The sequence below is a fragment of the Homo sapiens genome, chromosome 1 (assembly GCF_000001405.40).
Source record: "Homo sapiens chromosome 1, GRCh38.p14 Primary Assembly".
Taxonomy (NCBI): domain Eukaryota; kingdom Metazoa; phylum Chordata; class Mammalia; order Primates; family Hominidae; genus Homo; species Homo sapiens.
In genome coordinates, this window is record NC_000001.11 from 161311858 (window position 1) to 161339393 (window position 27536).

At 42.8% G+C, this 27536-nt stretch overlaps 1 protein-coding gene across 13 annotated transcripts in view, besides 4 other annotated features; it reads left to right on the forward strand.

The window, feature by feature from the left end:
- Positions 2100-2863: an enhancer, noted in NCBI's record as "NANOG-H3K27ac-H3K4me1 hESC enhancer chr1:161283747-161284510 (GRCh37/hg19 assembly coordinates)". NCBI's record gives its function as "activates a minimal SCP1, AML or CMV promoter by ChIP-STARR-seq in primed H9 embryonic stem cells {active_cell/tissue: H9 hESC(primed)}" and the evidence as "EXISTENCE:reporter gene assay evidence [ECO:0000049][PMID:30033119]".
- Positions 2415-2474: a silencer, noted in NCBI's record as "silent region_1475". NCBI's record gives its function as "represses an Ori minimal core promoter by ATAC-STARR-seq in GM12878 lymphoblastoid cells {active_cell/tissue: GM12878}" and the evidence as "EXISTENCE:reporter gene assay evidence [ECO:0000049][PMID:35858748]".
- Positions 2505-2574: a silencer, noted in NCBI's record as "silent region_1476". NCBI's record gives its function as "represses an Ori minimal core promoter by ATAC-STARR-seq in GM12878 lymphoblastoid cells {active_cell/tissue: GM12878}" and the evidence as "EXISTENCE:reporter gene assay evidence [ECO:0000049][PMID:35858748]".
- Positions 2524-27536, forward strand: part of SDHC (succinate dehydrogenase complex subunit C) — a 48826-nt gene continuing 23813 nt past the window's right edge. For 3 of the 13 annotated variants that reach the window (NR_103459.3, NM_003001.5, NM_001035511.3), the window contains exons 1-3: positions 2524-2568; positions 11757-11813; positions 16539-16640. Coding sequence is in view for 12 of the 13 variants with exons in the window: in NM_003001.5 (NP_002992.1) it covers positions 2549-2568; positions 11757-11813; positions 16539-16640 (179 nt within the window). In the remaining variant the exon portion in view is untranslated. Of the gene's footprint in view, positions 3018-11756; positions 11814-14793; positions 14912-16538; positions 16641-21569; positions 21690-27536 lie in introns of all 13 variants that reach the window. The other 10 variants (NM_001035512.3, NM_001278172.3, NM_001407118.1 and 7 more) reach the window with 6 other exon arrangements.
- Positions 4390-5151: an enhancer, noted in NCBI's record as "OCT4-NANOG-H3K27ac hESC enhancer chr1:161286037-161286798 (GRCh37/hg19 assembly coordinates)". NCBI's record gives its function as "activates a minimal SCP1, AML or CMV promoter by ChIP-STARR-seq in naive H9 embryonic stem cells {active_cell/tissue: H9 hESC(naive)}" and the evidence as "EXISTENCE:reporter gene assay evidence [ECO:0000049][PMID:30033119]".

Below are 27536 nucleotides of genomic sequence, written 5' to 3' on the forward strand. Positions count from 1 at the left end.
CTGGGCTAGTTTAAAATTTTTTTTTTTTTTTTTTCAGAGATAAGGTCTTGCTCTGTGGCCCAGGCTGTAGTGCAGTGGTGCAATGATAGCTCACTGCAGCCTCAACCTCCCAGGCTCAAGCGATCCTCCCACTTCAGCCTCCAGATTAGCTGAGCCACAGGCAGCCACCACCATACCCAGCTAATTTTTCAATTTTTTGTAGAGATGAGGATCTCACTGTGTTGCTCAGGTTGATCTTGAACTCCTATACTCAAGTGATCCTTCTGCCTTGGCTTCCCTAAGTACTGGGATTACAGGTGTGAGTCACCGTGCCTGACCTCTAGAAGTTAATGTAAGTGGGGTGGTCATTGTTATTCCTGCTATGAGACCACTGCAGGCTCACCCAGGTGAAGGACAGTGTCCTGGTACCTTCCTGGCATCTCATTAGACCACAGCCCTGGTGGGTATGGTCATTAGTATTAGATTTGGGTTGTGGAATTCTAAATATGGGATTGCTTATGAAGTCCATAGGCAAAACCATCATCATTGACAAATGTTTACAGGATGTTGTAGTCAACATTTCTATAAAACAGCAATTCAAAGTACAAAAAAAAAAAAACCCCCAAAACTCTCCCCTCCAAAATTTCCACCTAACTCCACCTCCCAACTGTAAGCAATCATTTCCTCTTTATCTAACCACCCCTTTTATCAACACCCTCTTCAATGGGTTGTTGCTACTTTCTTTGTTGCATGTCTTTATTGATCCTGCTAAGGCTATAACCTTCTTGGGGACAGTACAAACATCTGTATCTTTGAATCCCCTACAGAACTTTTCACGGACTGACAAAAAGTCCATAACTACATGCTAAATGAAATTATTAATATTTAAAGAGCTGAGTGGGCTGGGAGTGGTAGCTCGCACCTATAATCCCAGGACTTTGGGAGGCCGAGGCCGGTGGATCACTTGAGGTCAGGAGTTCTAGACCAGCCTAGCCAACATGGTGAAATTCCATCTCTACTAAAAATACAGAAAATTAGCCGGGCATGGTGGTGCAGGCCTGTAATCCCAGCTACTTGGGGGGAGGCTGAGGCAGGAGAATCGCTTGAACCTGGGAGGCAGAGGCTGCAGTGAGCTGAGATAGCGCCACTGCACTCCAACCTGGGCGACAGAGTGAGACTACGTCTCAAAATAAAAGAAAAAGAAAAAGAAAAAGAAAAACCAAAAAAGATCTGAGTGAAAAAGGCATTCCTTGGGTTTGTTAACGTGAAGCTCCAGAGAGCCAAGTCAATGACTGGAATTTCGATAGCACAAAACTGTATTTAAATATAATAACTAACGAATAAGTTGTTCATTAAATAAAACTTGTTGTTTGAGGTACCCATCATTGAATATGGGGGGGTAGAGTCTTGAAGATCAGCTGTTATGGGTGTTGCAGAGGAGATCCCTGCATAGATAGTAGATTGGATTAGAGAGCCTCTTTCAATCCTAAAGTGTACGAATGTGCTTTGTCAAGCATTATAGAAATGCAAAGTAGTATTATTCATCTGATGCAGAAATAAGTGAATTTGTGCTATTTAAATCCTGAAGTGCAGGGATGCTAAATATACATAAGATCTGAATATTAATATAATTGAGTATTTTTTTTGTAGAAATAGGAGTTGCTCTAGCCTGTCCCTTTTACTCCTCTCCACCCTACTCCCCACAAGAGTCAAGAACTTTTGTGCTCTGTTCCCTTCCTTTATCATTTGCTCTTCTTCTTTCTTCAGTCTTGAGTGCTCGGCAGTTGATTCCTGTGCTTGGGTTCCCTAAAACTGTATATATATATATACACATATATAAATCAAAGCGTGTTCTTCCCCTCACTCCGGGTTCTTCTAGCTGTGGGTGTCACCCACATAGCGCTGAAACAACGAACAAGGGAGCATTGTCCTCGGCTAGTGGGCGCCTGGTCCATGTGGCAGCTCAAACCCAGGAATTGTGGGGTCTAATCGAGGTGGTTAGATGAGGCTCCTCGTTTTCGGGAATGGTGGTCCGCAAGGTCTTCTCGAGGCCCCTCTACACACTCCCCAACTTAGGTCACAATTTATGTATCTGTCTGGTTAAAGCTTCGTATTAGAAAGGGAGGGAACCCAAAGTATCTTTTCTCTTCGGGGTCTCAACCGGCCAACCACCACGTTTTTAGGCCGACCTGGGAGGCAGGGGGAACGCAACAGACTGCGAAGTCCTTAAGGAAGAATCTAAACAAGTCCGCCGTTTGCTGTTTGGGAGTGCGATACAAAATGAATATGTACGCAGGTGGAACGTAGACTGCAGATTTTGAGCCAGCGGCGTTTCTGCCGAAATCCTGGCAAATTCCGGTAGAAGTCGGCTGCAGGAGGCGGAGGAGGAGACTAAAAAACCAGAAAACAACCAGCAAACCAGCTAGGCAGAGCTGAGCGGAGAAGCTCCAGAGCCTTTTAAAGAGACTCTCGTCACATGACACCCCCAACCCCGACCCCCAGCCGGCGCGCCTCCGCCCTCGGGTGGCGGGGCCGCCTGGCGTCACTTCCGTCCAGACCGGAACCCAAGATGGCTGCGCTGTTGCTGAGGTGACTTCAGTGGGACTGGGAGTTGGTGCCTGCGGCCCTCCGGAGATCTGAACTGGCCCCTCACGTTTTGCTGATAACTGTTTATCCTGTGCCTGGGCAGGGAAAGGACCCATGGGTGTGGAGGCCAAGCGCTCGGGGATCCTAGAGACCCCTTTTCCCGTCCCCCCCAGCCGCTCCGGTGCGCTCCGTAGGGCTTCGGGGTCACTGACTTCGTATCGAGGGGCCCTCGGCTCTCGCCCCTTCTGTTTTCCCCACCTCCTCTAGTACTTCTAACGCAAATTGCTCTCGGGCCTGCACCCAGAGCCGAGCTCTGAGAAAATAACTTCAAGGTCAGCCACCCATGGGTCCTACGATTTCGAGAGCGTATTTAGACATTTAGCTTCGGAGAGAGAGATCTTCGTGTATTTTGCCTTTGCTTCGAATGCCTTCAGACACTAGCTGCTCCCACCGTGAGTGGGCGCTGTCTGGGTTCCCAGCGGGCTGCTGGCAAAGGGTGGATCCCTACTGGGGTGGCGATTAGCATTAGCACCCAGGGCGGACCTCTGCTGCCCCAGAGCAACCCGGGGAATTCATTTTTAGTTAATCATTTTACTTGGGAGGGAGAGTGAGTGTCCCAGTTTTTCTCTAAAATGTGAATTAGTTGTCCAGAGAAATACCCTAGATTTTCTTTCATTCTGAACTTTCCGCTGTCTAGGTCTCATTCTCTGCTCAGCCTCTCTAGTCACAGCGACTAGCGCCTTTAGACACGCCTGGTACAAATCCCAGCATAGTTTTGTGCCAGCCTTATTTTTGGAAATTGTTTGTTATGGAAAGTTAGCTTCAATGCTGTTGAGATTTCAATCCCTGATTTCCCCAAATGTGTTCTCATTTCTCTTTCCACTTCAGTCACCCAGTTTAAAAATAGAGGGACTTTGTTTAGTTTTTCTGTGACAAAATGATTCCTCTTGGAGTTGAAATCAGGGTTATCTTAATCCTTCATTTTCTCCCTGTTTTTCATCTCCATATGTATCTTCTGTCTAAGGTATGCCAAGGCTTGTCTTGCCAGTGCTGTCTTCTTTATTCCAGATGGTTTGACCATAATTGAATGCTTTTGAATTCTCTGATATATTTTGGTATCGATGTTAGGGGCTTTTGGTAAAATTAACATTTAGTTTGAAGTGATCATATTGGTTCCAAACAGTTCATTTTAGGAGTTTTGGAATTAGTGTTTAAAAGCTGAGGATCATTATAGTCATTAAGTGTATCCATACAGTATCATTTTGAGTTGTGCAGCGCTGTCCACTGAAGGGATGGGTCGCCCCTCCACACCTGTGGGTGTTTCTCGTTAGGTGGAACGAGAGACTTGGAAAAGAAAGAGACACAGACAAAGTATAGAGAAAGAAAAAAGGGGGCCCAGGGAACCGGCGTTCAGCATACAGAGGATCCCCGCCGGCCTCTGAGTTCCCTTAGTATTTATTGATCATTATTGGGTGTTTCTCGGAGAGGGGGATGTGGCAGGGTCATAGGATAATAGTGGAGAGAAGGACAAAGGTCTCTGCATCATAAGGTAAAGAATTAAGTGGTGTGCTTTAGATACGTATACACATAAACATCTCAATGCCTTGAAGAGCAGTATTGCTGCCCACATGTCCCATCTCCAGCCCTAAGGCGGTTTTCCCCTATCTCAGTAGATGGAATATACAATCGGGTTTTACACCGAGACATTCCATTGCCCAGGGATGATCAGGAGACAGATGCCTTCCTCTTGTCTCAACTGCAAAGAGGCGTTCCTTCCTCTTTTGCTAATCCTCTTCAGCACAGACCCTTTACGGGGGTCTGGGGGACGGTCAGGTCTTTCCCTTCCCACGAGGCCATATTTCAGACTATCACATGGGGAGAAACCTTGGACAATACCTGGCTTTCCTAGGCGGAGGTCCTTGCGGCCTACCGCAGTGTTTTGTGTCCCTGGGTACTTGAGATTAGGGAGTGGTGACGACTCTTAATGAGCATGCTGCCTTCAAGCATTTGTTTAACAAAGCACATCTTGCACAGCCCTTAATCCATTTAACCCTGAGTTGACACAGCACATGTCTAAGGGAGCACAGGGTTGGAGGTAGGGTTACAGATTAAAATGGAGTCTCTTATGTCTGCTTTCTATACGGACACCTTAACAATCTGATCTCTCTTTCTTTTCCCCATAGTCCACACTAGGATTCAATGCCAAGAAAGGTATATTTTTCATTAGTGGTAATCTGAAGCTCTCGTGGAAAGGACACCTCCATTTCTCATAAGGGATTTTTTTAGGAGGATAAATGAGGAATTAAAAATTTTTTTTTTCTTGATAGAAGTTCCCAGTCTAATTCCATTTCACTAGAGGGATTTGGAACTGTTTATAATGTGCTGATTTAACCTCAAAGGAAAATACCTTCTGAGAAATCCTAGGAGCTGATTTCTGGTTCTACATTTATTTTGGACAAGTCAAGGTCATTGATTCCATGATTTTGGTTTCCTCATTTGTGTTGCAAACGGCAATAACTTGGGCCCACTTAAGAGAAATATTGGTTAAACTTTTCTTTTTGTTCTTTTTTTGGGGGTCTCTTTTTTTTTGGTTCTTTTTCTTTTTTTTTTTTTTGAGACGGAGTCTCGGTCTGTCACCCAGGCTGGAGTGCAGTGGCACGATCTTGGCTCACTGCAACCGCCCCTGCCCGGGTTCAAGCATTTCTCCTGCCTCAGCCTTCTGAGTAGATGGGATTACAGCAGGGGTCTGCCACCACGCCACCACGCCTGGCTAATTTTTGTATTTTTAGTAGAGACGGGGTTTCACCATCTTGGCCAGGCTGGTCTTAAATTCCTGACCTCATGATCCATCCGCCTCGGCCTCCCAAAGTGCTGAGATTACAGGCATGAGCCACAACGCTTGGCCTTTATTTTTATTTTTGGTTAAACTTAAAAAATTTTTTTATTTACTTATTTTAATTGGCAAATAAAAATTGTATATATGGTGTACAACACGATGTTTTGAAATATGTGTACCTTGTGGAGCTATTGACATATGCATTACATCTTTGTGGGGGAACACTTGAAATCTATTCTTAGTGATTTTCAAGTATGCAATGCCTTGGTTTTGTGTGTGTGTGTGTGTGTGGTTTTTTTTTTTTTTTTTTTTTTTTTTTTTGAGACAGAGTCTCACCCTGTCGCCCAGGCTGGAGTGCAGTGGCGCAATCTCAGCTCACTGTAACCTCTGCCTCCTGGGTTCAAGCGATTCTCCTGGCTCAGCCTCCCAAGCAGCTAGGACTACAGGCGTGTGCCACCATGCCAGGCTAATTTTGTATTTTTAGTAGAGACGGGGTTTCACCATGTTGATCAGGCTGGTCTTGAACTCCTGACCTCAGGTGATCCACCTGAGCCAGGCATCAGCCACCGAGCCAGGCATAAGCCACCACGCCGGGCCAATGTAACAACATAATAACATAATAATAACAATTGTGGCTGGGCATGGTGGCTCATGCCTGTAATCCCAGCACTTTGGGAGGCTGAGGCTGTCAGATCACAAGGTCAGGAGATCAAGACCATCCTGGCCAACATGATGAAACCCCATCTCTACTAAAAATACAAAAATTAGCCGGGTGTGATGGTGCGCGCCTGTCGTCCCAGCTACTCGGGAGGCTAAGGCAGGAGAATCGTTTGAACCTGGGAGGCGGAGGTTGCAGTGAGCTGAGATCATGCCACTGCACTGCAGCCTGGGCAACAGAGCAAGACTCCATCTCAAAAAAAAAAAAATTGTACTGTGTTATACAATAGATCTCTTGAACTTATTCCTCCCTTCTAACTGACATTTTGTATCCTTTGACCAACTTCTTCCCCTTCCCCCTCCCCCGCATATAAACATGTTTATGCTTGGCTAATTAAGAATTATTAGTTATCAGAGTATTGTATTGTCATGGCTTTTGAATATATGCTCTCTATTTTGTATGTTCTCTAAACAGTTCAGGGACCAGCTAGAGATGAACAACCAGCTAAGTAACACAAACCATTGGCACTCAGTCAAGGAATGACTTGCCAAGGCCAAGGAGTTAGAGAACTAAGCTAAGGACAGCTAGGCTTCTATGTAATAATGTTCATGCTCCTTAAACACAAAGTCACCAAGAGTCATTAACTATCTGGCCAGTACTCATTGTATTAAATGCCGTATGTGAAATGCCCCTAAATATTAAGGTTTAACTCTCAATTTATGAAACTGCTTTTTAAAATAAGCATATTCATTCACAAACCTTTTTATTTTGTTATTTTTATTTTTTTTAACCTTTTTCTTTGTGTCAGACATTATTATAGGTACTGTGGATCCAAGGCCAGGTGCAGTGGCTCATGCCTGTAATGCCAGCACTTTGGGAGGCCGAGGCGGGAGGATCACCTGAGGTCAGGAGTTCAAGACCAGCCTGACCAACATGGAGAAACCTCGTCTCTACTAAAAATACAAAAATTTGCTGGGCGTGGTTGTGGGTGCCTGTGGGTGCTGGTAATCCCAGCTACTTGGGAGGCCGAGGCAGGAGAATCACTTGAACCTGGGAGGCGGAGGTTGCAGTGAGCCAAGATTGTGCTGTTGCACTCCAGCCTGGGTGACAAGAGCAAAACTCCATTTCAAAAACAAACAAAAAACAGAAACAAAATTAGCTAGGTTTGGAGGCACATGCCTGTAATCCCAGCTACTCAGAAGGCTGAGGCAGGAGAATCGCTTGAACTCGGGAAGTGGAGGTTGCTGTGAGCTGAGATCGTGCCATTGCACTCCAGCCTGGGCAATAGGAGCGAAACTCTGTCTTAAAATAAATAAATAAATAAATAAATAAATAAAGTACTGTGGTACTATGGATCCAAAATATTTTGATAGTTTGAGCTCAAAGTCTAGCAGGGAGATAAATAGATTAATTATTAAACCACATAAGAAATATTGATAGATATGAACAAGTGTGAGAGCAAGGCAGATATAGCAAGTAAGGCTAAAGAAGTGATCTTGCTATCCAGGAATTGGTTGTTTTTTTTTTTTTGGTTTTGGTTTTTTTTTTGAGACTGAGTCTCGCTCTGTCGCCCAGGGTGGAGTGCAGTGGTGTGATCTTGGCTCACTGCAACCTCTGCCTCCTGGGTTCAAGTGATTCTCCTACCTCAGCCACCCGGGTAGCTGGCATTACAGGGGTGTGCCAGTATGCCTGGCTAATTTTTGTATTTTTACTAGAGGTGGGGTTTCACCATGTCGGCCAGGCTTGTCTCAACCTCCTGACCTCAAGTGACCCACCCACCTTGGCCTCCCATAGTGCTGGGATTACAGGCATGAGCTACCACGCCGGCCCTTAGGAATTGAGTTTTGAAGGATGAGTTTAACAGGCTCTGAGGGAGGCTCTATTCAGAGAACAGCATGAGCAAAGGCATGTGGTCAAAAGATGGTTTGCTGTAGCTGGACATAATGTAATGTTCAGTGTGGCAGAATTACAGTGGATTGAAAGGAATTTGTGGGAGGTTAGGTCCAGAGAGTTGGCCACGTTGTGAAGTGCGTTGTTTGCCCACAGTTTGGATCTTATACTGTAAGCAGCGGGAAATTGTTAAAGACTTTTAGGCAGGAGAATGATGAAACCATGTTATTTTATTTATTTTTCAGTAAATTAGTGTTGGTGTTATTGAATGATATGTAAGAGATTGGTGCGAGGGAGATCAGTTCAGGAGCTCTTGTTACAGTCCTAGTGAGAAACGAAGAGGATATAGACTATAGCAATGGATTGGAATGAATTTTCCTAGCTGTTAATGATAGGATTGGGTGATGCCATCATATGGGGGGGGTGGTGAAAGAAAAGAAATCAAGGATGACTTAGGTTATAGTTTGGTAGTTGGGTGGTAATAATCATTAACCAGAACTTTTGTATACAAATTATTATTCATCATGCCATTCAAAGTTATATATCTATTTTATTGTTGCTGTTACCTAGACATTTATGAAACTTTTTGGTATACCATCAGATCAAGTTTAGAAACTCATTATATTACAGTCATATAATGTATGACTATAATAAGATAAATTATAGTCACATCTTGTTTTGGACTAAAAATGGTATTCAGTTTGATCACATAGACTTGGCTTTGAATAACTTTTTTTTTCCAGAAATCAAATTTATTTTCAGTGGATGAGTATTTTTGTCACCACTGAGGGTTTTAAAAAGAATGTGATGCAAATTCTAAAGACCTCGGGGAGACCAGTGATAATATGTTACATATATATGTGGTGTATTGTAGTTTAGACAATGCTTTCCTGTATGTTTTCTTGTGCAGTCCCCTCAGCAACCAATAAGGTAGGTATTATCAATCCCATTTTATAACTGAAAACGCTGAAGCTCAATGACTCACTCAAGTTATACAACTTATTCTAAGACTTCAGTCTTGATTTTTTTTTTTTTTTTTGAGATGGAGTCCCGCTCTGTCACCAGGCTGGAGTGCAGTGGCCCAATCCCAGCTCACTGCAACCTCTGCCTCGCGGGTTCAAGCGATTCTCCTGCCTCAGCCTCCCGAGTAGCTGGGATCACAGGCGTGCGCCACTACGCCCAGCTAATTTTTGTACTTTTAATAGAGACGGGGTTTCATCATGTTGGCCAGGATGGTCTTGATCTCCTGACCTTGTGATCTGCCCGCCTCGGCCTCCCAAAGTGCTGGGATTACAGGCGTGAGCCATCGCGCCCGGCCCAGTCTTGATTTTTTACTTCCCAATGTTATTTTTACATTACCATTGCTGCCCCAATCCAGAGAAGAGTTTCAAAAATGATTTCAGCAATGATTACATTTTGGGGAGACATGTTAATGCATTTAGAAGGGGCAACAATAACTAGAAATTGTAAGTTCTGGCTTGTCAATTAAAAATACAGAGTTCCTGTTTTCACATGAAAGGGAAGGATAATTACTTTTGTCATATTTCAAATAAGGTTATGGCATTTGTGCAGCTAGTTTCTGTGAGGGCCTTGTAGAAAGTTTACATTGATATTTGTCTGGGAAACAATAGCGCTAGACAGAGAGGGCACGCCATAGATTCCAACCCACATCTGCAAACTCTTGCTGGGTAGCTGAGTGACTGGGCCTAGCCTGGTGTGAGGAATGCGTGCCCTGCAACTTCAGAGTCACAATTCAATTGATTAAAAGAGATTTGTTCCCACTTCTTTCTGGGAGCCTTGGGTATACAATGTCTGTATTCACCTCTTGCCTTCAAAGCTGGAAAGAGGGAAGAGCTGAAGAAGGAAGTGTTCGTTAGATTTTTTTCCTTTAAATAGTGGGCCCTTCTAGTGTACTAATATGAAGCTTTTGAAAAGTTTGTGCATCTAATATCAATGGTGTGAGGGACATCATGAGCTTTTTTAGAAGATCATTAGATCTGTATGAGATCTTGTGTCCTAGTGCCTTGCAAGTAGTGGATATGCAATAAACTTTTGTAGAATCAATGTGTTTTTAAGTTTTAGTCCCAGAAATTCACTCTATTTACCTTCTTAAATGCTTTTGGAAAGATTTGATACAATGATGTGACTGAAGGATATAATGATGTGACTGAAGGGTATAATGGTCGTGTGTTTTTCATAGTACACAATGAACATCCCTTTTCTGAAAAGCTTGGGACCAGAAATATTTAGGATTTCTGATTTTTTTCAGATTTTGGAATATTTGCATTATACTTAACTGGTTACATGTCACTAAGCTGAAATCCAAAATATTCCAGTGAGCATTTCTTTTGAGCATCATGTCAGCACTTAAAACATTTTGGGTTATGGAGGGTTTCAGATTCTGGATTTTCCACAGTAGGGGTGCTCAACCTGTACCGTGTAAACTTTGGATCAGTTAAATTCTCCTTAGAATGCCTAGGCACATCTTAGTTTTTGACTTGAAAAGCAATTCTGGCACTGATGTATACATTTCAAAAATGGCAATTTTTAAGTAGAAAACTTTCATGGGGTCAGTAAAAATTTTTTTTATTCCCATTTTTTTGCACATTATAATAATTACATGAAAGACTTTTTGACTTGAAATTCATTCAGGATATCTGGAGTTTGACTGATGTTAGTTCCTGAAATGAACTAGCTTAATATTTAGGATGCTCTCTTCACAAACCCCTTGTACTCTTAAACCTTTTTTTGTTTGTTTGTTTTTGTTTTTTTTTTTTTGAGACAAGGTCTAGCCCTGTCACCCAGTCTGGAGTGCAGTGGTGCGATCTTGGCTCGTTGCAACTTCTGCCTCCCGGGCTCAAGTGATACTCCCACCTCAGCCTCCAGAGTAGCTCGTATTATAGGTGTGCACTACCACACCCAACTAATTTTCATGTTTTTTGTAGAGATGGGGTTTTACCATGTTGTCCAGGCAGTATTGAACACCTAGGCTCAGTCCACTGGCCTCAGCCTCCCAAAGTGTTGGGATTACAGGCGTGAGCCACTGCACCTGGCCTGACCTTTTAAATTCATCCGTTTGTAGTAGATATTTGCTAAAGCTAAGCTATATGGTTGCAGTTACCAGTGGGCTTATTCTGTTTTTTTGTTTGTTTTGTTAACCCCGTCTCTTAGACATCACCTCCTGTAAGACCTAGCTTTTATTTTTTTTTTGAGACAGAGTCTCGCTCTGTCACCCGGGCTGGAGTGCAGTGGCACCATCTTGGCTCACTGCAAGCTCCATGTCCCAGGTTCACGCCATTCTCTCGCCTCAGCCTCCTGAGTAGCTGGGATTACAGGCATGCGCCACCACGCCTGGCTAATTTTTTGTATTTTTAGTAGAGACGGGGTTTCACCGTGTTAGCCAGGATGGTCTCGATCTCCTGACCTTGTGATCCGTCCGCCTCGGCCTCCCAAAGTGCTGGGATTACAGGTGTGAGCCAGCGCGCCTGGCCCAAGACCTAGCTTTTAAAAAATCACTTTCTCTATTTCTCTGTTGAACATTACCAACTCTGATTATTCTTATTCTTTTGTCTTGCATTATTTGTGTTTGATTAACTCTATTTTGCATTTTTAGGTAATATTTCTTATTATTTTCAAGTTACTTGGAGTTGTAGCTTTTCAACTAGAAAATGGTATCAAGGACACTGATACTGTCATTGTTTTTATATCTTACTTTTAATCTATCCCTTCACCCCTAAAAATAGAGAAGTTGATATACTAAAGTTGATCTCTAAATGTGTATTGATTTTTGATTCTCTTATCTTGCAGACACGTTGGTCGTCATTGCCTCCGAGCCCACTTTAGCCCTCAGCTCTGTATCAGAAAGTAAGTTTCTAAGTCTGGAGATTATTTATTTATTTTTTTTTTTGAGACGGAGTCTCGCTCTGTCACCCAGGCTGGAGTGCAATGGCGCGATCTCGGCTCACTGCAAGCGCCGCCTCTTGGGTTCACGCCATTCTCCTGCCTCAGCCTCCTGAGTAGCTGGGACTACAGGCGCCCACCACCACGCCTGGCTAATTTTTTTGTATTTTTAGTAGAGACAGGGTTTCACCGTGTTAGCCAGGACGGTCTCGATCTCCTGACCTTGTGATCCGCCCGCCTCGGCCTCCCAAAGTGCTGGGATTACAGGCTTGAGCCACCGCGCCCGGCCCTGGAGATTATTTTTTTTTCCTTAGGGAAGAGCAATAGATTGTTGACTTAGATTTGATGGATATGTACGACAGTGGGCAGTTGTAGACAGTTGACTGAAACTTAAGTAATTGTGGTGACTATTTATGGTTTGTGTGTATGTGTGTTGTTTGTTTGTTTTTGAGACAAGCTCTCACTCTATTGCCCAGGCTAGAATGCAGTGGTATGATCAGGGCTTGCCGTAGCCTCAGCTTCCTGTAGCTGGGACCACAAGCATGTGGTGTGCCACCATGCCTGGCTAATTTTTTGTATATTTTGTAGAGACGAGGTTTCACCATTTTGCCCAAGCAGGTCTTGAACTCCTGGGCTCAAGTGATCCCCCTGCCTCGGCTGGGATTATAGGCATGAGCCATTGCACCTGGACTTTCATGGTGTATATTTATTCTCAGCCTGTTGATGTCAACAATTGCCTTTGTGTTATTTTTTAAAAACTTTTTATTTTGGAAATATTTTATACTTTCAGAAAAGTTATACGAATAGTAGGATGAAGTTCTACATATCTTTCACCCACATTTGCCAACTGTTAACATTTTATTGTGTTTGCTTATCACTCTTTTTTGTATTTTAGATTATGCCATATGAAATTTTTATTTTTGTAGGTCAAAACTGGTAAAATATTAATGATTTAGTGTAGTTCAGCCGAATACATATTTAATTATTAGTATTTTCACTGAATGCTTTAAGGGTAAATTGTGAACATCATGACCATTTACTTCTAAATATTTCTTCTAAGAACAAAGAAATTGTTTTACATAATGCAGTATAATTATATAAACATAATTATCAAATTCAGGAAATTTAACATTGATGAACTCTTATCTGATACACAGTTGATTTTCAGATTTTTCATTTGTCCCAAATAATATATTTCATAGAAATATAATCAGCTAGGCATGGTGGTTCATGCCTGTAATCCCAACACTTTAGGAGGCCTACACAGAAGGATAGCTTGAGGCCAGGAGTTCAAGACCAGCCTGGGCAACAGAGAGAGACCCAGTCTCTACAAAAAATTAAAAAATAAAAAATTAGCTGAGTGTGGTGGTGTGTGCCTATAGTCCCAGCTATGGGGAGGCTAAGGCAGGAAGATGGCTTGAGTCCAGCAGTTCAAGGTTGTGGTGAGCTATGATCATGCCACTGCACTCCAGCCTGGGCAGTAGAGTGAGACCCCTCATCTCTATTTTAAAAAAAAGAAGATTGGATGTGGTGGCTCACACTTGTAATTCCAGCACTTTGGGAACCTGAGGCAGGAGGATCCCTTGAGCCCAGGAGGTCAAGACCAGCCTGGGCAACATAGGGATACCCTGTCTCAATAAATAAATAAATAAATAAATAAATAAGAAACAGCTATCCTCAACAATTTAGTAGGCTGGGCATGGTGGCTCATGCCTGTAATCCTAGCACTTTCGGAGGCTGAGGTGGGCGGATTGCTTGAGCCCAGGAGTTTGAGACCAGCCTGGGCAACATGGTGAAACCCCTTCTCTACAAAAAATACAAAAACTAGCTGGGTGTGGTGGTGTGCACCTGTAGTTCCAGCTACTCGGGAAGCTGAGGTAGAAGGATCACCTGGATGGGGCAATGGAGAATTGTGCATAGCCTGAGCATGGCTGTTTAATAGTTGGTTTCAACCTAGCCCAGTGACAAAGGAAACCAAGAAACTACTGAGGTACCGAGCTGAATCTAGTTCTTGATTTTTGAGAACCTGAAAGGGAATCTTGAAAAGCCAGATGAGAGCAGATGGTAATGTATGAGATAAAACTGTGGCCCTGGAAAAGCATAATCTATTTATGTGAATATTTTTTAAATATACTTGCCCTGCCACCCAACAAGAAGTTGTGCTTTCATTGCCAGACCTGTGTATTGGGTGGGTTTAGAAAGCAGAGTTATCGGCCTGGCACGGTAGCCATGCCTGTAATCCCAGCACTTTGGGAGGCCGAGGCAGGCAGATCACGAGGCCAAGAGATCAAGACCATCCTGACCAACCAACGTACTGAAACCCCATCTTGACTGAAAATACAAAAATTAGCTGGGCGCGGTGGCATGTGCCTGTAGTCCCAGCTACTCAGGAGGCTGAGGCAGGAGGATGACTTGAATCCAGGAGGCGGAGGTTGCAGTGAGCCGAGATCGCACCACTGCACTCCAGTTTGGCCACAGAGCGAGATCCCATCTCAAATTAAAAAAAAAAAAAGCAGAGTTATCGTCTGATATGACCTCATCAGATGATTCAGGTTAACTGAATTAAAGTTGGTATAAAAATAAGATAAGTGGAGGAACATGTTTTCCTAATACTGTGGGTTTATCCAGCCCACCATACTGTTACCGGAAAAGGGGTCTTGACCCAGACCCCAAGAGAGGGCTCTTGGATCTCATGTAGGAAGGAATTCAAGGTGAGTAGCAAAGTGCAGTGAAAGAAGCAAGTTTATTAGAAACTACTCAATTATATAGTAGGGTGTCCTCAGAAAGCAAGTGGGGGAACATGCTGTCTTTGAGTTTCTTTTTTTCTTCTCTCTTTCTCTCTCTTTTTTTTTTTAAATATATATATATATATATTAGGTCTTTAAGGTTTTATTTTATTTTATTTTAATTTTTAATTTTTTTTTTTTCTTTTTTTTTGAGACAGAGTCTCGTTCTGTCGACCAGGCTGGAGTGTAGTGGCGTGATCTGGGCTCACTGCAACCTCCACGTCCTGAGTTCAAGTGATTATCCTGCCTCAGCCTCCTAAGTAGCCGGAATTACAGGTGTGCACCACCACGCCTAGCTAATTTTTGTATTTTTAATAGAGATGGAGTTTTACAATGTTGGTCAGGCTAGTCTCAAACTCCTGACCTTGTGATCTGCCTGCCTCAGCCTCCCAAAGTGCTGGGATTACACGCATGAGCCACCGCACCTGGCCAATTGTTAAAAATATTTTGATGTAGAGTGTTGCTCTGTTGCCCAGGGTGGAGTGCCATGATGCAATCACAGCTCACTGCAGCTTCTACCTCCCTGGGCTCAGAAGATCCTCCCACCTCAGCCTCCCGAGTAACTGGGACTGCAAGCTCGGACCATCATGCTTGGCTAAATTTTCTTTGCATTTTTTGTGGAAACAGGGTTTTGCCATGTTGCCCAGGCTGGTCTCAAACTTCTGGGCTCAAGCCGTCTGCCCACCTTAGCCTCCCAAAGTGCCGGGATTATAGGCGTGAGCCACCATGTCTGGCCTAAGTTTTCCTTATATAGGGATCTTGTCTATGTAAGGACTAAACTAAGCTGTGCCTACATGCGGGGGACCAGACAGCATGACAGAATTTATTATTCTATTGATTTAAAGAAAACTGTCCTTGACATTTTAGTGTGTAAGTACATCAAAGCATAACTATAATTATTTTGAAAGCATATGTTGTTATGGGTATTGGGACATCTGGACTTTCTGTTGTTGGAGTTTGTCCTTGCAGGTATTACCAAGCTGCTTCCTTAGCTGTAAACATGTTAGAACCGTGGGTTGTCACTGGCAAGGAATGTGCCTTGCTAGTTTTAAGATGGAGTTTATTTATTTATTTTATTTATTTTTTTGAGACGGAGTCTTGCTCTGTCTCCCAAGCTGGAGTGCAATGGTGTGATCTTGGCTCACTGTAACCTCTGCCTCCCGGGTTCAAGTGATTCTCCTGCCTCACCCTCCTAGGTAGGTGGGATTACAGTCGTGCGCCAACACACCCGGCTAATTTTTTTCTATTTTTAGTAGAGATGGGGTTTCACCGTGTTGGCCAGGCTGGTCTTGAACTCCTGACTTCATGATCCACCCACCTCGATCTCCCAAAGTGCTGGGATTACAGGCTTGAGCCACTGTGCGTGGCCTATTATTTTATTTTATTTTTATTTTTATTTTTATTTTCTGTTTTCTGTTGCTATAACAAGATGGAGTCGATTTTAAAATAGTGTCACTCTGGCTCTCCTAGGCTCCTGCTTCCCTAACAAAACCTTTTCTAAAAAGATACTGCAAATTTTTTTTTTTTTTTTTGAGAGAGAATTTCTTGTTGCCCAGGCTTGAGTGCGATGGCGCAATCTTGGCTCACCGCAACCTCTGCCTCCTGGGTTCAAGTGATTCTACTGCCTCAGTCTCCCGAGTAGCTGGGATTACAGGCGCCCGCCACCACATCTGGCTAATTTGTATTTTTAGTAGAGACGAGGTTTCTCCATGTTGGTCAGGCTGGTCTCGAACTTGTGACCTCAGGTGATCCGCCCGCCTCGGCCTCCCAAAGAGCTGAGATTACAGGCCTGAGCAACCATGCCTGGCTTGGTATTGCAAAATATTGACTTAATAAAACGTTATGCAAAATATTAAACCAAGTTTACTTTTAGTTATTTTCAAACGGTCTGGTTTTATTTTAGTGCTGTTCCTTTGGGAACCACGGCCAAAGAAGAGATGGAGCGGTTCTGGAATAAGAATATAGGTTCAAACCGTCCTCTGTCTCCCCACATTACTATCTACAGGTAAGGAAGGATTCTGGAGCCAGAGAATCTAGAGGTAGTGGGTGAAAGTTCTGAAGGTTGATCTTTAGCCTACTTGATACTTCCCTCACTTTTACTCAACCAAAATACTGCTATGTAGATGAGGTGAACCCTTCAGGGTAGAGGGAGATGACATAAGGATTATCTTACACCTTTTTTATGTGGAGATGACTAAATTCTATCTTGTCATTACAAGGGTAATCTATTTTGCAAAACTACCATTTAGAAAATTCTGGTAAGTCAAAATATAATTCCCATTAATTAAAACATTTTTGAAACAATTTCAAATTTACATAAACGTTGCAGAAATAACATACAGAGTTCCCATATACCTTTATATGGAAGGTATATAGTATATATGCTAAGTTATATAGAAGTTGCAACTTTGCAAATTCTTCTTCTTTTTTTTCTGAGACAGAGTCTTGCTCTGTTGCCAGGCTGGAGTGTAGTGGCGCGATCTCAGCTCACTGCATCCTCTGCCTCCCGGGTTCAAGCGATTCTCCTGCCTCAGCCTCCCGAGTAGCTGGGGCTACAGGTGTGCACCACTACGGCCAGCTAATTTTTGTATTTTTAGTAGAGATGGGATTTCACCAGGTTGGCCAGGATGGTCTTGATCTCTTGACCTAGTGATCCGCCCGCCTCGGCCTCCCAAAGTGCTGGGATTACAAGTGTGAGCCACCATGCCCGGCCACAACTTCTTAAATTATTCAGACATGCTAATAAGCAGATTCCCAGCTGCTTAACATGTCTGAATGATACAAGAAGAAGTTGCAATGATGATGATATCCAAGTATTATTCCTGTATTTGTTTTCTTCTTCTTTTTTTATTTTTCTGAGGCAGAGTCTTGCTTGGTCACCCAGGCTGGAGTGCAGTGGTGCGATCTAGGCCCACCGCAACCCCTACCTCCTGAGTTCAAGTGATTCTTGTGCCTCAGCCTCCTGAGTAGCTGGGATTACAGACATGAACCTCCATGCCCGGCTAATTTTTGTCTTTTAGTAAGAGATGAGGTTTTGCCATGTTGTCCAGGCTGGTCTCAAACTCCTGGCCATAAGTGATCCACCCACCTCGGCCTCCCAAAGTGCTGGGATTATAGGCATGAGCCATCACGCCCAGTCCCTGTATTTGTTTTCTATTGCTACTATAACAAGTATCACAAACTTAGTGGCTTAAAATAACACAGATGTATTGTCTTACCATTCTTTAGGTTAGAAGTACAACACAGGTCTCATTAGGCTAAAATTAAGTTGTTTGCAGGGGCTGCATTCTTTTCCAGAGGCTCCTTGCCTTTTCCAACTTTTATAGGCCATCCACATTCCTTGGGTTATGGCATTCTTTTTCTATTTTCAAAGCAAGCAATAGCAGAGTCCTTCTCGCTTTGTATCACTCTGACTTCTTCTACCTCCCTTTTCTCCTTTCAAGGGACCCTTGTCATTATATTTAGACCTCCCCAAATATTTCAGGACAATGCCTCCATCTCAAGGTCTTTAATTTAATAATATCTGCAAAGTTCTTTTTGTGATATAAGATAATATATTCACAGGTTCTGGGGATTAATACATTGACACCTCTGGAGGGGAGGGTGCATTATTTTACCTACCACAGTCTACCCTCTAGCCCTCAAAGTTTATGTCTGTCCCATGACAAAATACATTCACCACATCGCGGTGGCCCCAAAAGTTTCAACCTACTGTAGCCTCATCTCAAAGTCTTAAAATTTCATCTAAATCTCCCCATCTGAACCAGATATGGGTGAGGCTCTGGGTATAATCCTTTTGAGGAACATTTTCTCTTCATCTGTGAATCTAAAGCAACAAGTTACATACTCCCAAAATACAGTGGTGGGACAGACATAGGATAACAACTGTAGACATTCCTGCTCAAAAAGTGAGAAAATGGAAGGAAAAAAGGAGTCTCTGGTTCTAACCAGGTTTGAAATTCAGCCAGGCAAACACCATTTGATTTCAAGGCCTGAGAATAATCCTTTGCAGCTATTGGCTTTGCCCTCTGGGCTTATAGCTCCATCCGCTATCCTTCTTTGTGAAAGGTGACACATGCTTTTGCAGCTGAGTCATTTTTAACAGCCTCTTTTTTGTCTGTAGAAATTTCGGGGTATGACAGTCTTCTTTTCATCTTCTCTCTGTCACTTTTAGTCTATGCTGGCAGTATTTCTGTTGGTATAACATTCTTAAGAACATTGTTGGGACCAGGCGCGATGGCTCACATCTGTAATCCTAGCACTTTGGGAGACCAAAGCAGGTGAATTTCCTGAGCTCAGGGGTTTGAGACCAGATTGGGCAACATGGTGAAACCCTGTCTCTACGAAGATACAAAAAATTAGCCAGGTGTGGTGGTGCGCCTGTAGTCCCAGCTACTTGGGAGGCTGAGGCACAAGAATCTCTTGAACCTGGGTGGTGGAGGTTGCAGTGAGCCGAGATTGCGAGATTGTGGCGCCACTGCACTCCAGCCTGGGCTCTGTTTCCAAAAAAAAAAAAAAAAAAAGAGAACCTTGTGGGTCTCCTGCTTGTGTCATGGGAATTTGCTCCATTAGACAAGACGTTCCCTTATAGAATTTTCCTAAATAATCCTGCCTCTGTTTCTGCCTTCTGATGAGATGGTTGAGGGGATCTACTAGTAACATGCTTAATTTCAAAACGCCTTTTATGTGACTAAATATTCTGCCCTTTCAATCTTTCTCAGGTATTAACATAAGGTTACATGGCCACGCCCTGACTTTTTCTTTTTGCCAATGAATATCCTTTTTTTTTTGTCCAGACAGAGTCTCACCCAGTCACCCAGGCTGGAGTGCAGTGGCACGATCTGGGCTCATTGCAACCTCCGCCTCCCAGGCTTAAGCAATCCTTCCACCTCAGCCTCCTGAGTAGCTGGGACTACAGTGCATGTCACCACGCCCAGCTAATTTTTGTATTTTTTTATAGACATGGTGTATCACCATCTCTATAAAACCATGTTGCCCAGGCTGGTCTCAAGCTCCTGGGCTCAAGTGATCTGCCTGCCTTGGCCTCCCAAAGTGCTGGGATTATGTGTGAACCACTGTACCAGGCCTTGACAGTAAATATCTTTTTTTTTTTTTTTTTCTGAGACAGAGTCTCACACTATTGCCAGGGCTGCAATGCAGTGGCGCAGTCCCGGCTCACTGTAACCCCCGCCTCCCTGGTTCACGCGGTTCTCCTGCCTCAGCCTCCCAAGTAGCTGGGATTACAGGCGCACACCACCATACCTGGCTAATTTTTTGTATTTTTCGTAGAGACGGGGTTTCGCTATGTTGGCTAGACTGGTCTTGAGCTCCTGACCTCGTGATCTGCCCGCCCTGGCCTCCCAAAGTGCTGGGATTACAGGCATGAGCCACCGCGCCTGGCAACAGTGAATATCTTAATTTTAGTATTTTTGCTGGGAAGGCTGAGAATTTCCCAAATCATTAAGTCCTGTTTTTTTGTTTGTTTGTTTGTTTTATTTAAGAGACAGGGTTTCACTGTGCCACCCAGGCTGGAGTGTAGTAGTGGTGTGATCATAGCTCGTTGTAACCTTGAACTCCTGGACTCAAGTGATCTTCCTGACTCAGCCTCCTGAGTAGCTGGGACTACAGGTGCATGCCACCACACCTGGCTAGTTTTTAATTTTTTGTAAAGACGGTCTCAATATATTACCCAGGCTGGTCTTGAACCCCTGAGCTCAAGCGATCCTCTCACCTTTTTCTCCCAAAGTGTTGGGGTTACAGCTGTAAGCCACCGTGCTCAGCTTGCTTTTTATTTAACAGCTCTTCCCTCAGTCTGTTTCTTTCCTTTCACATTTTACTATAAAGAGCAAAAAGAAATCAGGTTGCCACTTCAGTAGATTCTGCTTTCCACATTATCGTGGGACATAATTCTGCTAAACTTTCTGCCCTATGTAACAAGGATCCCCTTTCCACAAGTTTTTAATAACATGTTCCTAATTTCCTCCTGAGCCTTTACTAGCTGAATTAACATTCATATTTTCCTTTTTGAAATACAATTTGTATACCATACGGTTCACACATTGAAAGCATACAGTTTAGTGGCTTTTGTTAAATGCAGAGTTGTTCAGCCATCACCACAATTTTAGAATATTTTCTTTTTCTTTCTTTTTTTTTTTTTTGAGATGGAGTCTCGCTCTGTTGCCCAGGCTGGAGTACAGTGGCATGATCTCGGTTTACTGCAACCTCTGCCTTCTGTGTTCAAGTGATCTCCTGCCTCAGCCTCCCAAGTAGCTGGGATTACAGATGTGCATCACCATGCCTGACTAATTTTTGTGTTTTTAGTAGAGACAGGGGTTTCACTGTGTTGGCCAGGCTGGTCTTGAACTCCTGACCTCAGGTGATCTGCCTGCCTTGGCCTCCCAAAGTGCTGGGATTATAGGCATGAGCCACCATGCCCAGCCAATTTTAGAATGTTTTCATCACTCCAGAAAGAAACACTACATTTCTTAGCCATCACCACCAATCGTTTGTCCCTCCCAGCTCTAGACAATCAGTTATTTACTTTCCATCTTATAAACTTACCTATTCCGAACATTTCATTTAAATGTAGTGATAAAATATGTGGTCCTTTGTGACTGGCTTCTTTTACTTACCATAATGTTTTCAGCGTTCATCCATGTTTTAGCATATATCAGTGCTTCCTTCCTTTTTATGGCCGAATAATATTTCATTGTATGTACATACAGTGTTTTATTTACCCATTTATAAATTGATGGACGTTTGAGCTGTTTCCACTTTTTGGCTATTAGAAATAATGCTGCTATGACCATTTATTTGTGTACAAGTTTTTGTGTGCACATATGTTTCATTTCTCTTGGGTATATACCTAGGAGTAGAATTATTGCATCATATGGTAACTCTATGTTTAACTTTTTTTTTTTTTTTTTTTTTAAAGACGGAGTCTCGCTCTGTTGCCAGGCTGGAGTGCAGTGGCGCAGTCTCAGCTCATTGCAACCTTCACCTCCCAGGTTCAAGCGATATTCCTGCCTCAGCCCCCAAGTAGCTGGGACTACAGGCATGCGCCACCGCGCCCAACTAATTTTTCTATTTTTAATAGAGACGGGGTTTCACCATGTCGGTCAGGATGGTCTTGATCTCTTGACCTCATGATCCACCTGCCTCAGCGTCCCAAAGTGCTGGGATTACAGGCATGAGCCACGGCATCCGGCCTATGTTTAACATTTTGAGGAACTACCAGACTGTTTTCCAAAGTGACTGTACCATTTTACATTCACACTAGCAGTGTATAAGGGTTCTAGTTTCTCCACATCCTCACCAGCACAACATCCATATTTCTACTAAAATCTGTTCAAGGCAATCTGGGCTTTTTAAAAATCATGGTCCTAAAAATTCTTTTAGTCCCTTCCCACTGCCCAATTTCAAAGGCACTTCCACATTTTTGGGTATTCGTTACAGCTGCACTCCTCTTCTAGTTACCACAATCTATACTAATTTTCTATTTGCTGCCATAACAAATTACTGCAAACGTTGTGACTTAAAACAACACAAATTTATTACCTTATAGTTCTGTGGGTCAGAAGTTTGACAAGATCTCCCTGGGCTAAAATCAAGGTGTTGGCAGGGCTCTGTTTCCTTCTGGAGGCCCTAGGGAAGAATCCATGTCCTTGCCTTTCCTAGCTTCTAGAGGCTATCTGAATTCCTTGGCTTCTGCCCTCCTTCCTCCATCTTCAGAACCAGCAATGCTACATTGAGTTCTTCAGTCACATCATGCTGACCCTGCTTCCGTCATCTCATTTCTTCTTTGACTCCTTTCTTCTGTGAGCCTCTTCTGCTTTTCTTTTTTCTCATTTCTCTCTTCTGCTGTTAAGGACCTTTATGATTACACTGGGCCCGTCCTAATAATCTAGGATAGTCTATGTTGTTTTGTTTTTGAGACAGGGTCTCGCTGTGTTGCCCAGGCTGAAATGGCACAAGTTTTCTACAAGTTTTTAATAAAACTTGTGGGGCATGATCATGGCTTACTGCAGCCTTGACTTCCCAGGCTTAAGTGATCCTCCCAGGTCAGCCTCCCAAGTACCTGGGACTATAGGCATGTACCACCATGGCTGACTAATTTTTAAATATTTTCTAGAAATGGAGTTTGGCCATGTTGCTCAAGCTGGCTTTGAGCTCCTGGGCTCAAGCTGTCCTCCCACTTCGGCCTCCCAAAGTTCTGGGATTACGGCTCACTCCCTCTTTATCTTAAGGTTGTCTTATTAGCAACCTTAATTTCATCTGCAACCTTAATTCCCCTTTGCCGTAAAAGGTAACATATTCATAGGTTCTAGAGATTAGAACATGAACATCTTTAAGGAGACTATTATTCTGCCTACTACAACTTCTTAATACTTGGCTGTGCATTTCCTCAATTGCAAGACAGTCTCCAAAGTACAACCATCACAATGTTACTATCTAAACCGTAGGTCCCATTCAAATTTTGCCACTTGTCCCATTAATGTCCTTTATAGGCCTAAGATTGAACCTAGAATTATATATTACATTTAGTTGTCATGTCTCTTTTTCCTGCAGTATGGGAGAGATTTTTAGTCTTTCCTTATTTGTTATGACCTTGACGTTTTTAGAATGTTCCTTAATTTGGGTTTGTTTGGTGTTTTATGATTTATGCATTTTTGGCAGGAATACCCCTGCGGTAATGCTATACTTCTGTCAGTACATTGTATCAGGAGGCATGTGCTAATGATTTATCCCATTACTGGTGATGTTAACTTTTGTCACTGTTTAAGATGTGTCTGCTAGATTTCTCTACTGTAAAGTTACTGAATAAGGATGTTGTATTAATTAATACATATTTTGGCGGGAGATACTTTGAAACTCTAAATATTCTTTCTCATCAGATATTTACTCACCAGTATCTGTTGGAGGTACTTGCCTAAATCATTTATTACTGTGATAGTTGCCAAATGTAATGTTGCTAATTTTATATATTATAATAATATTTTCTAGATTTGTTTGTTTTGATAGGGTAAAGCTTGCTTTTTTTATCAGTATGGACTCAAGGATAATATGGATCAAGCATTAATTTCCCCAAAGGATTATACTTTGTTATTATTTATTTTGGTGTTCAAATTGTCTCAGACCTGGCCAATAGGAGTTCTTCAAAATGACTCCTGTGAAATCAGTATCTGGGTGCTAGATGTGCTCATTGCTACTAGGATGTCATTGCTTCTAGGCCCGGTCTGTGGATAGAGGTAGCATATATATGTATGCAATCTCTGTCACATACATACGTGTGTGTATATAAGTATATACATACATCATACATACATATATACATATATACATACATCTCTGTTTATCTCATCTTCAGAAGTGGCATTGATAACAGTTTTTGCTGATGTCTTTGAAGATAAGTCCCTGTAAATCTGCTTTTTGTTTTTTTAGGCTAACCCAGCAAAGCATCTTGAGCTCTGCTACTCTCTTGGGTTTCTGCCAGTGAGGCTGGCCATTTTTTAACCACCTCCACAAATACCATAACCCTTCAGTTTTTTTCCAAGCCAGATTCCAGGAATAATCCTGTTTGTAGAAACTGGACATGCCACTAAAACAGAAGGAGGCTAATAAGTGATCTTATTTCTTGCTTCTCAATCGTGAAACTTTCTTTTTTAAGAGATAAAAGTTTTAGGAGGCCCGGTGCGGTGGCTCATGCCTGTAATCCCAGCACTTTGAGATGCCAAGGTGGGTGGATCATGAGGTCAAGAGATCGAGATCATCCTGATCTCAGGTGAAACCCTGTCTCTACTAAAAATACAAAAATTAGCTGGCCGTGGTGGCACGTGCTTGTAGTCCCAGCTACTCAGGAGTCTGAGGCAGGAGAATCGCTTGAACCCGGGAGGCGGAGGTTGCAGTGAGCCAAGATTGCGCCACTGCACTGTAGCCTGGCAACAGAGCAAGGCTCCGTTTCAAAAAAAAAAAAAGTTTTGGGGAAGAATTATAATGAAAAAGAGAAAAGAGCATCCTAAATTATTCTGAATCTGTATATTTAAAGCCGTGGCCTTTTTTCACAGGTCATATAAAGAATGGTTGTAGGTTGGTGAGGTGAGTCTTTCACTACCTTATTTGCTTTTCTGGTTATGTAACTCCAGACATACTTGGGGGGAAAAAAGCAGCAGGGAACACGGGGCTATATCCAGAGTGGCATGTCAGGGAAAGATATCTGAGATACCTGAAGTCATATTTTCTATTACCCATTTTTTGGGTTTTTTGAAAGAGGCCTGGAAGTAAATGGTTAGTGATGTTAAACATCTTTTCATGTACTTATTGGCCATTGGCAGTCTGGGCTGTTGGAGAAATGTTTTTACTTTCTGGAGGTATTTTTTTATTGTTTTTTTTGCTTTTGAGGCAGAGTCTCCCTCTGTTACTCAGGCTGGAGTGCAGTGGCGTGATCACGGCTTGCTGCAACCTCGACCTCCCGGGCTCAGGCAATCCTCCTTCCTCAGTCCCCCAAGTAGCTGAGACTATAGACACACGCCACCATGTCCGGCTAATGTTTGTATTTTTTGTAGAAATGGGTTTTTTTTTTTTTTTTGCCATCTTGCCCAGGCTGGTCTCAAACTCCTGAGCTCAGGCAGTCTGCCCACCTCAGCCCCCTAAAGTGCTAGGATTACAGGCCTGAGCCACTGTGCCTGCCCACATCTTGATTTTCTATACTAGACTCTTACCTAATGTTCAAACAGGGCCTAGTGAAGAAGACTTGTCTTTGCTCCATGGTGCCCGAGGCCTCAGCTGGAAAACACAAAGGCTAGGGCCTGAATTAATCTGAAGATCCAGTCACTCACATGTCTTGGAGTTGATTCTGGCTCTTGGATGGGGCCCTTATTTTCTCACCACATAGGTCCTTTCACATGTCTTTGTAGGCTGCTTTGGGTTTCCACACAGCATGAGGAAGGAAGGAGAATTCGTAAGTCATGCAGCATTACTTCTGCCGCATTCTACCTTTTGAGGCCGTCGGTCATCAAGTCCTGCCCAGGTTCAAGGGTAGAGGCTAAATACTTGCTTGATGAGAAATGACAAGATTCTGGAAGATCCTGGGGGACTGGAAATAATATTATGGTTATTTTTAGAAAACAATATTTTTACCTTGTCATTACTGGGCTAGCCAGGCTATGATTTTAACCGTTTTTGAAAAATAGGGTAACATTTGAATTCAGCAGTTTCATATTACATCACTCCCATTTTGTATATCAGTATTTCTGAAAGATTTCTGGAACAGTGCATATGTTTCTTCTATTAGCTCTTTCAGTCATGGGATTTGATTCATCTGGTCCCAGAGCCCCAAGTGTGTTTGGAATCTTCCAATTTCCTCACCTCTTTAGGGTTTCAAGTCTTTCAGATCAATATTTGTTCTGTCTTTTTCATGCTGATAATTATTCTCTTTGACAAGAAAAATAATTGTGCAATCTGTTTCACACTCTTGTCATCAATTAGCATAAAATTGTTCATCCCAGTTAGGAGGCTGACTGTGTCAGAATACAATTTTAAAACCTCTTTTTTGTTGTCCTTGAAATTGTTGCAAGCCTCAGCTCCTTCTGGGTTTCGGTCTCCTGATTCTTCTTACCAAATTATGCTATCGTTCTCTGTCCTTGGTTATGTGTCTGTTCTTCCACCTTTTATATTTCTGTTGTTAAATCTGAGTTGATCAGAGTGGTATGTGGCTCTTCTTCCACCTTTTATATTTCTCTTGTTAAATCTGAGTTGATCAGAGTGGTATCTAGTTAGTATTAATATTTTTAATTTATTTGGGAATACTCCTTTCTTACTTACTATGACCATTTTCATTATGTAGGCAGAATTTTCTTTTGAGATCTTTTTAACCTCTTTATTTCTCTTCAAAGTGTTGAAGATACGGTTTGATTATGCTTAGTATTCTTTGTCTAAGCTAACATTCCAAGATGAGCGTTAGCTTTCTTCAGAGACTCTTGTTCTTTCCATTTTACCCACCAGTTCTCTCTTGAGCATGAGAACTAGGTCTAGAATAACAATGTTGGTTGTCCTTCAATGGAAAGTTGATGATTCATAATTTAAAAAGGGGTTTGATGATGAAAAGTATTTCAGAACTACTGTGGATTAAGAAATATATACTAAATCCAGAAGATTGGATATAAAAATTTGGGATAGGTAACTTATTAGGAAATAAGTGGTATGTTCAGTTTGGATATTTTGGGGCATATAATAAGGGAGGATTCAAGGATGACCATGTATTATATGAAACTGTGGATAAATGAAACTCAGGTTTTCTTCCATCAGTGTTATACCTGGAGAAATAGAGGGACCCAGGTTGTATTACAGTGATTGCTTTCTTTCTTTTTCTTTTTTTTGAGATGGAGTCACCCTCTGTCGCCCAGACTGGAGTGCAGTGGCGTGATCTCCATTTACGCCAAACTCCGCCCCCCGGATTCAAGTCATTCTCCTGCCTCAGCCTCCCAAGTAGCTGGGATTACAGGCATGCACCACCACGCCTGGCTAAATTTTTGTATTTTTAGTAGAGATGGGGTTTCACCGTGTTGGCCAGCCTGGTCTCGAACACCTGACCTCATGATCCACCCGCCTCAGCCTCTTAAAGTGCTGGGATTACAGGCGTGAGCCACCGTGCCCGGCCTATAGTGATTACTTTCTAATTGTATCAACTGTATTTATTTATTTAGAGGCATGGTCTCTGTCTCTCTCTCCCCAACCCGGGCTGGAGTACAGTGGCACAGTCATAGCTCACTGCAGTCTGGAGTTCCTGGCCTCAAGCGACCCTCTCACTTCAGTCTCCCAAGTAGCTGGGACCACAGGCCTCTGCCACCACACCCAGCTAATTTTTTTTTTTTTTTTCGTAAAGATGGGGTCTCATTACGTTGCC